General features: G+C 43.3%; 1 protein-coding gene across 1 annotated transcript, besides 2 other annotated features; it reads right to left on the bottom strand.

The window, feature by feature from the left end:
* On the bottom strand, positions 3,237-6,869 carry MAGEE1 (MAGE family member E1). Its single transcript, NM_020932.3, has one exon. The coding sequence runs from the start codon at positions 6,646-6,648 to the stop codon at positions 3,775-3,777; it is 2,874 nt and encodes a 957-aa protein (NP_065983.1). The 5' UTR covers positions 6,649-6,869; the 3' UTR covers positions 3,237-3,774.
* Positions 6,012-6,141: an enhancer, noted in NCBI's record as "active region_29777". NCBI's record gives its function as "activates an Ori minimal core promoter by ATAC-STARR-seq in GM12878 lymphoblastoid cells {active_cell/tissue: GM12878}" and the evidence as "EXISTENCE:reporter gene assay evidence [ECO:0000049][PMID:35858748]".
* Positions 6,612-6,821: an enhancer, noted in NCBI's record as "active region_29776". NCBI's record gives its function as "activates an Ori minimal core promoter by ATAC-STARR-seq in GM12878 lymphoblastoid cells {active_cell/tissue: GM12878}" and the evidence as "EXISTENCE:reporter gene assay evidence [ECO:0000049][PMID:35858748]".

The following is an 11,841-nucleotide window of genomic DNA, read 5'->3' as shown; positions in this document are numbered from 1 at the left end:
TTCAATTTTGGGGAAATAATTGTTTTTAATCAATTTTGATGAGTCATCATCTGAGATATGTGGATAACCTAGAGAACTTTAGCAGTTACTTAGATTAGATTAAGTGGCTACATAACTTCTTAGGCAAAAGGGGAAATCTTACAGAACCATTCATTGGCAAGATTGAATAACAATGTGAAGACAATCACCAGAGTCCCACCCATGATTTCTCTCTACATAAAGAGAAGAGACTTCTCCTGTGAAGTTTAGAAGCTTTTCCATTCCACCACAGATGAGTACAGCAATTAGTCAGTCACATTGACTGTAGCTCTTTGCAGGGTTTGACACAAGTCAATGATCATTACCTTAACGCAGAATGACAAGATCCTTTTTTAAAAAATAGTACACATTCATGTAATCATGAGAGCACGACCCTCCACTGAACACATGGAATCTTGAAACAAAAGCTTGCATCCTAATCTAACAGGTGCATTTGAACAAAGACATTTAATCAGACATTTTCTGAGACCAAAATGGTTACTTTTGAGAGAAATGCATGAAAAAAAACGTATTTTCTTCCTTGGTTGTCTTTAGTGGGATATTCTGAATGTTTGTGCATGTTGGTCAAGTTTATCTGAGAGAAAAATAGTTCGCAATATTTAAATGACAAACAACCAAGAAACTTGCTTAGGTAACATCTTCTGGCAACAATTGGATAACACACAAGTCTACTAAGAAACATGAAAAGAATAGAGAACTAATACAGAACTTAAGAAGTAAATGAAGCTCTATTATCAGAGCCTCTCTCTCAGGAAGGTTGTGCGAAGAGTAAAACGATTCAGTGATGTGGGTGTTATATCCCAGGCAGAACAATAAGAATATATGTAATCTTTACAGATTTTTTAAAAAAAATATTAGTAATGATATAAGAAGATATGTAATTCTTTTAGATTATAACAATAGTAATAGTGATAATAACAAGGAGGAGAAGGTGGGAAGAGGAAAGGGGAAAGAGATGAGGATGATGAAGAAGAGAAAGAAGAAGAAGAGGAAGAATTATTATTAAAGAGTAGGAGGGGAGGGGAAGGAAACCAATAAAAACAGCAACAACTGTAGTGGAGATTGTGATGTATCACCCAGATGCTCCTACTCTTCAGGATCACATTACTCATTCCTCCAGCTCTTGAGGGTGATGACAGCTGCTGTGTTTACAGCTGAGTACCTTTCTCAGGGATTACTCTCAGCTGAAAAGAACTGACTCTCAAAAAGTCATAGCCCCTTACCAGGAGGCAGTTTGCATCCAACGACTGGTGAGTATGGTGGGATAAAACTTTGGCCTCTTTTTCCTAATTTGGGACAACTCTGCAGGACCACACCAACTCCAGAGCTCCCTGTGGAATCAGTTAATTTATTTGCTGTGACTGAATCACTGCTCGACTTCTCTTTCTACACAATTCTGCTTCTCTTGCTCCCCACACCTGTTGAACCCAAAACAACTCCCCAGTAAAATTTCTGCAAGGAAATCACTCACAGTCTCATTCCTGGAAAAAATCAACATGCAACAATATCACTTATATATTGCTAACTACATGTCAAGTGCTCTTGTGTTTTACATGTTAACACATTTAATCCCCAACATTATGGCGTAGGTGAAATTATTATGCCCATTTTACAGATGAAAAAATGGAGGCACAAAGGAGTTAAGTAACTTGCCTGAGTTCTCATCTCTAGTATCAGAGAGAGCCAGGGTTTGTACCCAGGCACTTTGACTCTAGACTACATGCTCTTACTACTATGTTCTAATGCCTTTTAACCTTGATACCACGGAGTTTGATTTCCAAGGTGTTTTTTAAAAGATAACAGGCTTTCTGACTTCAATTTCTTTAAATTTGATTTTGTTCAGAAAATAACACCTCTTTTCATAGGTACATTAAGAAGAAATTACTATGCTAAAATTAGAGTTTCTGCCCTCCCCACCCCCTTTAGTTTTTCAATATGAGAGCCAAAAGAATCCTGTCAAAACTAAGTGGTTTCCTGCCATCGCTCAGATCAAAAGCCTTAAATAGTTTTCCATCTCACTCACAACTAAAGCCAAATTCTTATATGGTAGACTAATTTTTTATTCAAAAATATATGTTCTTCCTCTCTACTGGGCCCATTCCTATATGTTCTTCCCTGTAGAAGGAGTACACTTCCCAGCTCATTGACATCAAGCTTGCCCATGTGACTTGCTTTTGCCAATGGATTATGACTACAATATGCCATATATGAGCATAGGCTTTGAAAACTATCACATGGTTCCACTATGGCTCTTTTACTTCTGCCACAAGAACAGGTGTCCCATATATGATTTACTCCTTTAGCCTGGTTACCTGAAGGAAGACAATATAAACAGAATCACAGACAGCCCATGAAAGGGATGTAAAATGAGCCCAAAATTTTGTTGTTGTAAGCCTCTGAGATTTGGGTATTTTTTAAAAACCCACAGCATAACTTAGAGAAAGCTGGCTCATGTATCTTATTGAAACCATTGATGACACAATATATCCTGCTCTCTGGCCTTACATCTTTGACTTTTTTTCCTACCAGCACACATAAAGACTGAAATCCAGCCTTGAATCAGTTTAATTCATGATTGTATTAGGGACCCCATCTTGGCTGGGCACGGTGGCTCACGCCTGTAATCTCAGCACTTTGGGAGGCTGAGGTGGACAGATCACGAGGTCAGGAGTTTGAGACCAGCCTGGCCAAAATAGTGAAACCCCGTCTCTACTAAAAATACAAAAATTAGCTGGGTGTGATGGCACTTGCCTGTAGTCCCAGCTACTCTGGAGGCTGAGGCAGGAGAATTTCTTGAACCCAGGAGGCAGAGGTTGCAGTGAGCCGAGATCATGCCACTGCACTCTAGCCTGGGCAACAGAGCGAGACTCTGTCTCAAAAAAAAAAAAAAAAAAAAAGACCCCATCTTGTCCCCACCCCACATACCCAACAGCTTCCTTAAGGACCACCCTGAACACCCCAGGAATTGGTCAGTTGTGCCTCTTTTTAACTACCATAGCACTCTCTATTTTTCTATTGTAGCACATAGTACACCATAATAAATTGGTGATTTAAATGACCTCCCCCTGTACCCTATCCAGCCTCTGAATTCTTGGGCAGGTACTATATCTTGTAAACTTTTATACTTCTATAACTAGGGCACACCACTGTGCTCACTGTATGAAAGCAGTTGAATAAGTCAGTGTATTAGCATTATGTTTCATTTATTAATCTTTTATTTTTCATTACATTTTAGTACAGCAAAGCAAATACAGGTAAACATCAGTATTCTTCATACAATAGCAGACAGAAAGGGAAGCCAGCCACAATTTAGAGTGCCTTTTCAGTTGTTGTTATATTTGTTTGTTAGTTTATCACTTTAAGCTAGATTATTTTACTGGCGAATTTTTTTCAAGCTTTCAAGGAAAAGCCTATATCTATAGCTATATGCTATATTCTTTTCTAGATAATGCAACAAGATGGAAAGATTTCCAAAACATTTTATAGAGCTATCAAAACTCATACCAAAATACAACAGAGACAGCAAGTGGTCAATCACATTTACCCAATCAGACAATATATTAAAACAGTTGAAACATTTCCAGACACCACACCAGAACTAAATATGAAAAGACATAAATATAACTGGAACACAAATACCAAATACAATATGTACCCACCCCCACCCCCCAATACATGAGAACTGAGGCTCAAAGGCCCCTCCTTGCAAGGCCCCTCTGACTGCCATGCATTCCTCTACCTGAAGTTGTGAACAAAGATTTGCCTGTGCCCAACATCAGCTCTATTGGCCTCATCTTCCATTGCCTCCCTGTACTGCTGTGGCCAGTCCTGTGGTTCCTTTCTGTGGATTCTGGCCACATATCGCAAGGCTTTCATCTTAGAGGTTTCCAAACGGGCTCTAGGACCCCATACAAACTCATATTGCACTGGATCACTGTCAGGAACCCGTAAACTGTCTATATAGCGCTGACTCAAGTATCTGCAGGTAATCACATGCTTTCTCCCAGCTTGAACCCCTAAGCCCCGCAGAAAGGCCCAGACTGCAGACTCCCTGGCATGGTTGCCCATAATAAAGATGAAGCTTAGGACCTGCATCAAAAAGTTGTTGCCAGGCCTGTTTGGACTGTCTACGATCTCCTCAGTTTCTTCCATCTCCCTTCGGTTGTACAGAGTATAGGAGTGATTCCTGGGATCAAGTACCACTAGTTCTGTCCCATAGACATGGTTCAGGGTGCGGGCAGCACGATTCAGGAGGTCAGGGAACACTTTGCTGCACTCTCGGCCAATGTAGTACAGAATTCCTTTCTTTGGTATAGGCAGCTTAGTTGAATCCATAAGCAGAAATAACTGCACCAGCTTCCTTGCCTTGCTCTCCAATCTTGACTCAGGCCATGAATGTGGGGCATATTTTGAGGAATAGCTGGAAACCTCTGAATCAGGGGATGGTACCTCTGCAGCAGCTTCCTCAAAAAAGGGCCTCCTAAAGTGAGGGAGAGCCTGCCAACCCTCAGCAAAGGCTCTGGCAGCATCTTCTTCCAGAGCTTCGTTGTATTTCTCTGGCCAATCCATAGGATCTTTGTTATATATTTTCGCCATGAACTTCAGAATTTTCATCTTGGTGGTTTCTAGGTGGGATCTTGGGCCCCAGAAAAACTCATACTCCACTGGTTTACAGTCAGTTACTGGCCTGTAGTCTAAGTAACGCTGCCATACAAACTCCACAGACAGAAGTCTCTTTGGGTTCCCAAAAATGGAAAGCCTCCTTTCCCGCTGCACCCCCATCCTCCAGAGCATTTCCCAAATCTCAGCCTCCTTGGCTTGGTTGCCATTCAGGAATATTTGGCCTAGAATCATCATCAGGAGGCCCATCTTTGGCCCATTTGGGCTCTCTTCTAACCCTTCAAAGGGCACAGGTCCCAGTTTGTTTAACAGAATGTAGGTGTGTGCCTCAGGGTCAAGTTCTCTCAATTCAAACCTAAAAATGCACTCCAGGTGGGCTGCTGCTCGCCTGAGTATCTCAGGAAACTGGTTGCGATATTCTTTAACAATATATTCCCGCATTTCAGACTCCCGGATAGGGTACTTGCTCTGATCCTTCACCAGCAGGAACTGCAACAGCTCAGCTACGTTCTGTTCCATAGGGTCTTGGGGCTTCAGGGTAATTGCAACCCGGGAAGTATTGAGGCCCATAATACTAATGGAGTTGGGGCTCTCACAGTCTCTCAGGACCTCGAATTCTATAGGGCCTTCTGCACCCTTAGGACCCTCAGAATCTGAGTCCACGGAGGCCTTGGTTACCCTAGGGCTTGGCAAAACAAGGGAACACTTGGAGGGGTTCCGGTCCACAGAAGCACTAGAGCTAAACAATGTGCTCGGGCCCTCACCAGGGTTAGGCAGCACGGAGCTTCCCGGTCCGTCAGGGGCGGTGGGCTGCACTAAGGTGCTTGCGCCCTCACCAGGAGTGGGCGGCACGGAGGTGTCCGATCCATCAGAGGCGGTGGGCGGCACAGAGGTGCTCAGTCCCTCACCGGGGATTGGCAGTACGGAAGTGCTTGGTCCCTCACCGGGAGTGGGCGGCACGGAGGTGCTCAACTCCTCAGTGGCGGTGGGCGGCACGGAGGTGCTCAGTCCCCCACCAGGGGTGGGCGGCACGGAGGTGCTCGATCCCTCACCAGCAGTGGGCTGCACGGAGGTGCTCAGGCCCTCGGTGGCGGTGGGGGGCACGGAGGTGCTTGATCCCTTACCGCGGGTGGGCACCAAGGAGATGCTTTGTCCGTCAGAGGCGGCGGGCAGCACGGAGGTGCTCGGTCCCTCACCAGGAGTGGCCGGCACGGAGGTGCTCGGTCCCTCATCACGGGTGGGTGGCACGGGGGTGCTTAGGCCCTCAGTGGCGGTGGGCGGCACGGAGGTGCTCGGTCCCTCATCAGGAGTGGCCTGCACGGAGGTGCTCAGGCCCTCAGTGGCGGCGAGCGGCACGGAGGTGCCTGGTCCCTCACCAGGTGTAGGCAGCACGGAGGTGCTTGGTCCCTCATCAGGGGTGGGCACCACGGAGGTGCTTGGTCCCTCATAGGCTGTGGGCGGCACGGAGGTGCTCGTTCCCTCACCAGGGGTGGGCGGCAGGGAGGTGCTCGGTACCTCAGAGGCGGTGGGCGGCACGGAGGTGCTAGGTTCCTCAGAGGAAGTGGGCGGCCTGGAGGTGTTCCGGCCCTCAGAGGCGGCAAGCGTCACAGAGGTGCACAGCCCCTTAGAGATGGTGGGAGGCCCGGAGGTGCTTAGGCCCTCACTGGGGGTGGGCAGCACGGAGGTGCCAGGTCCCTCAGAGATGGTGGGCTGCCCGGAGGCGCTTGAGGCCTCAGAGATGGTGGGCGGCACAAAGGTGCTTGGGCCCTCAGCGGAGGTGGGCAGAACGGAGGTGCTTGGGCCCTCAGAGGCGCAGAGGCCCTGGAGGATCTGGGAATCGCTGGGACCCTGGGGGACGTCTGAGCCTGGCACATCAGCGGGGAGACCGGGGGCATTAGGGGCCTGCATTTCGCCCCAGCTGCTGTTGTGCGCAGTAGCCTTTGCAACGCGGCGGCGGCGGCGGCGCGAATTCTGGCTTACCAGAGACATGGTCCTGCCCACCGGCGTTGGCGTGTAGGAGCAGACACCGACAGGCCCGCGATCTGGCAGAGAGGACGGGAGGTGTGTAGGTGCCTCGGCACAAAACTGCCGCTAGCGGTAATGATGTTGCTGCTGCTGCCAGAACCAAAGTTCCAAGCAACTGCTGAAGCTGAAATTAGAGGTGGTGAAAAAGGCAGGCACTGGCCAGCAGTGAATGCTAGTCTCACTGTACTCTGCTTCTCACACCCCGCCCTCTGCCGCAGTCCGCGCAGGCGCAGACTGGCTCTGCGGCAAGGCGAAATCGCCCCGCCCCGCCCCTCCCCTGGGCCTGAGAAAGTGGATGCGGTGGTTCTGCACCAAAGGAGAGCACTAGCAGAAGGGAAACTTTGGTAGGGTGAAGCAAGGAGCTTAGAGTAGATGCATTAGGGAGTAAAAATGGAAATAATAATAAATACTTCTCAGATTTAGGGTACGATTGGAGGGCTTCTACACAGAGTGCCAGGCACTTAATAGATTCTCAAAATTGGTAAATATCATTGAGATTTGCAGTTTTCCCGAAGCTGTTTCAAAGAAAATGTGCATTGTCTCTGGAAGGGTAGAACCCCCATCCCTGACCATGTCTCTTCTATCACTTTCTCCATTTATGTGTCTAACTCCTCCCCTAATGTTGTGAGCTAGAAAGAACTCTTTCCTAGAGGGTCTGAATGCCTGAAATTTAGTACCAATTAGGGAGCTTCGAACACGCTTGAAAAGCCCAACATTCCCAGCCCAAACTTTCCCAGTCACCCAGGCTTTAGTGGGAAAGCCACTAAAACTCTTGAAAATTTGTTTAATTCTTTCACTCCACAATCACCTGCTCATTTAATAGAGCTTTTGTGAAAGTCAGTTGAGATACCGAGTGTTAAGGGATGTGTTACCTGCTCTGTTTTGCTCTATTACTCTAGCACTTTTGAGCAGATCCAACCCTGATCCCTTTATTCATTCACTCAACAAACACTGGTCATCTATCCCGAAGTTACAGTTAATCTCTTTGTCATCAAGGAGCACCCGATGTAAAAATGGGAGTCAGAGAAAAAGTAAAGCTAAATTTTCTAGAAGTTTGTAAAGAATGCAGGGGATGGCAGGGTCAGTTCTACCTGTAGATGCAGAAAAGGCTTCATAAAAGAGGAGATGTTTAAAAAGATGAGTGGGTAGATATTTACCAAAAGGACAAGGATGAGAAAATCATTCCAACTGAGAGTAGCACGGCAGCAGTGAGTAAGAAAGAAAACACTGAAGAGGACGGGCAGGCTGTTTTTAGAAGTAGGGGAGAGAGAGAGAGGAAGAGAGATAGAGGGAAAACACTAACTTTCTGACACTCACACAACCACTACAATTCAGCTTACCACTATTGACCCTTTATTGATATGTTTATATCTTGCTGCAAACATTTATTATATGTTGTCTTTCTTTATATCTTCTCAAAAATCTGGGAGTATACTTTTGTCTTTTTTTCTTTTTTTTTATACTTTAAGTTTTGGGGTACATGTGCAGAATGTGCAGATTTGTTACCTAGGTATACACGTGCCATGGTGGTTTGCTGCACCCATCAACCCATCATCTACATTAGGTATTTCTCCTAATGCTATCCCTCCCCTATCTCCCCACCTCTTGACAGGCCCTGGTGTGTGATGTTCCCCTCCCTGTGTCCATGTGTTGTAATTGTTCAATTCCCACTTATGAGTGAGAACGTGTGGTGTTTGGTTTCCTGTTCTTGTGTTAATTTTCTGAGAATGATGGTTTCCAGCTTCATCCATGCCCCTGCAAAGGACATGAACTCATCCTTTTTTATTGCATAGTATTCCATGGTGTATATGTGCCATGTTTTCTTTATCCAGTCTGTCATTGATGGGCATTTGGGTTGGTTCCAATACTTTTTTTTAATACGTCTTTAGGAAAGGGAAAATAACTGGCTACAGTCACAATGTGTCACCATCTCTGTCTCCAATTGGAGAAGCAATCCCTTATATGAATAACCAGTTTCGGTTCTGTGAAGTCCAATGCAGTTTTTATGCCTGGGGCCTATTCAGAATGGGAGGCACAAAAAAACCTAAGATATTTCTAAGCTTTAGCAACAGATATTCCTAACCTAGGGTACAGTGATTTTTAAAGACCCTGAAGTTGTTCAAACCTATAAACTAAAAATTTTTACCTCTAGAAATATATTCTAAAGAAATAATAAGATATATGTGCAAATATTTAGCTAAAATAACTTTTATTATATAATTTGTTCTAGTATAACAGAGCTGAAAACTAAATGAATGTTAAATAACTAAAGAGTATTTGAAGAAATTATGGTACTAAAAATGGAATACCAGTAAGTCATTATAATGATATCAAAGAATTCCATTTCTAATAATGTATAGTTGATTGCAGCAGCCCTGCGGAAAAAAAACCCCAGAAATTTAGGTAAAGAAACCCTTTTATGGCAACAAAGGCTACCAATATAGCATCAGAAACCTATAAAGGCAATGAGGACTTCAAGAGTAATGATCTCAGAAAAAAGGGAAGTGCAAAGAGGTGAGTCTTACATTGTATACAAGTTTGTCACTTAAGGAATTTAATGATTTGTAAGCTGATAATTTGGAATTCTGAACTTACTGAAATAGTACATCAAAAATGAAGGCAAAATAAATACATGTTCAGAAATCAGTGCTGAGTAAATTGATCACCAGTACACCCACACTGAGGAAATACTGAAAGGTTCTCCTCTGAAACTGAAGAGATGCAAGAAGCGAACAGTAATAGAAAGGATAAATATGTGGGTAAACAGACATATTGACAATGTAAAACAATAATAATAATATGTTTTGTGTAATTTATATGTAGAATTAAAATATAGGAAACAAGTGAGTGCAAGAGATTTGGGGACTGATCAAGAAAAATATATACTACCACACGTTTTCAGTAACACACAATGAGTTTTTGTTGTTTGTCTGTTTTAGAATTTCAACTTTTATTTTAGATTCTGGGGATACATACACAGGTTTGTTATATGGGTATATTGCATGATGCTGAGGTTTGGAAAACAGATGATCTCATCACCCAGGTAGTGAGCATAATACTCAACAGTTTTTCAACCCATGACCCCCTTTCTTCTTCCCCCTTCTAATAGTCCTCCAGTGTCTGTTTTTGCCACCTTTATGTTGATGAGTACCCAATCTTTAGCTCCAACTTATAAATGAGAACATATGGTATTTGGTTTTCTGTTTCTGTGTAAATTCGCTTAGGATAATGGCCTTCAGCTGCATCCATGTTGCTGCAAAGGACATTATTTCATTAGTTTTTATGGCTGTGTTGTATTCCATGGTATATATGTACCACATTTTCTTTAGCAAATATCAGTGATAGACACCTAAGTTGACTCCATGTCATTGCTCTTGTTAATAAGGCTGCAAACAACTATGAGTGTATGTGTCTTTTTGGTTGAATGATTTCTTTTCTTCTGGATATATGCCCGATAATGTGATTACTGAATTGAATGGTAGTTGTGTTTTATGTTCTTTGAGAAATCTCCAAACTGCTTTCTATAGTGGTTGAACTATATATAGTGTTTATTATTACTAATTTACATTCCCACCAACAGTGTATAAGCATACGAGTTTCATTTGGTCAACCCTTTGACAGGTTTGCAAGGGCATGGGGTTAATCAAAGTCTGAGATCTTCCAGAGGCTGGTGGGAGGTCACAACCTAGAAAATGAGAGGACAAGCTAACTGGAGAGAGGGAGGGGAATCAAAGAGATGGCTTATACATGTAGCGATGTCTCTCAGCAGCAAGACAGGGAGTTGCTGGGTCAGAGATCTCTGAAGGGCAGCAGTAGGTTAGGGTTTTTATCTCCTGGAGTTTATCCTATCTATAGCTAACAGATGATTGTAGTTTCACAGGGACATGCAAAGAAGGCAGCCTCTAAATGGCTAACAATCTACTTATTGGTCTATATTTAAAACAATTGATGTGTAAAAAATTGAGTTTGGTACTGGCAGAATCAATATATAGAGACTATCTTTGGCTCATGCATATAACAGTCCATCCCCTGGCCCAATGTTGTCTTATAATTAAAATTGTATGTTATTTTGCAGTGCCTAAGTTTCTTGCCAGAAATAAAGGAGACAGAATCCTATAAGGGTACAAACAAGGATTTCAAAACCCTTTCATAGCCAATCTGCCCACGTAATGGAGGAAAGCCAGGGGAATCGATTAGAAAAAGGAGCAGATTTTAATTTGTTCAATTGTTCAGTCAGTAGAGTGACATTATAACCCCTTTGCTACATGTTCCTGTCTATCCATAATGCTAGAATCAGATTGGCAGAAGCAAGTCCAACATGCAGTTAAATTTGTCATTATATGTGTTTCTGTGACTTAAGATATCTGCAGGTTTAGGCAAATGAATGTTCCTCCTTATTTGGATTGGTGTGCCTTGCTTGAGTTTCCGGGTGATTGCCAGTAGTAAATAGCATCAGAATGTTTGCATGGGTCTAGAGTAAGCTTCACAGTATCTCTTGGCAGTTTTTAAAAAGTTATTAATTTATACATGCACCAAATTTGATTCTGAACTGTGGAGTACTCACATATGTGATCCTCAAAGGTAGGGCAAATTATTTCAAAAATAACCATCAATCATATTATAAATTTGGCCTATTTATTTCCCTGTTTATGATGATGTTGTTCTAATTTTAGTGGGAGGCCACCTGTTCCATCATTTTTATTCCAGGGAAACTTTTCTAGGGAGTCCATTTGTATAGCTCGAATAAGTTCAAGGGTGACCTCTTTAGAGGTGGCAATGTGATGTCACCAATAAGTTTCTTCCCAGGTTAGCTTTGATATCAGGCTTCTCATTATTGTTTCTATCTCCTGTATGGTGGGATGTATACTGAAAGATTGAATGTACAAATGGACAATGGTTGGACCATATATAAAAAGTAGAACAGTGACCCGCAACCTTCAACAACTTGCCTAGGAAACCAACCCACTTAACTACAGTAAGCAGCCCAGAGCATTAGCCTGCTATAAGTCAGACTTGTAGGATGTCAAATTTTTATCTTTAGTAACAATTCAAGGAAATAAACAATAATTTCTATAACAATCAGCCCAAAATGGCCAGGACTTGATTAATAACTGACTACCTTCTTAATTCTTGTCTCTGCATCCAACTTAGATCCAA

The sequence above is a fragment of the Homo sapiens genome, chromosome X (genome assembly GCF_000001405.40).
Source record: "Homo sapiens chromosome X, GRCh38.p14 Primary Assembly".
Classification (NCBI taxonomy): Eukaryota; Metazoa; Chordata; class Mammalia; order Primates; family Hominidae; genus Homo; species Homo sapiens.
Note: the sequence above shows the minus strand (reverse complement) of the source record. Positions and strands in the feature narration are given on the sequence as shown.

Bases quoted from the DNA above. Each gene is read 5' to 3' on its own strand.
- MAGEE1 (NM_020932.3), bottom strand. From the start codon at position 6,648: ATGTCTCTGGTAAGCCAGAATTCGCGCCGCCGCCGCCGCCGCGTTGCA.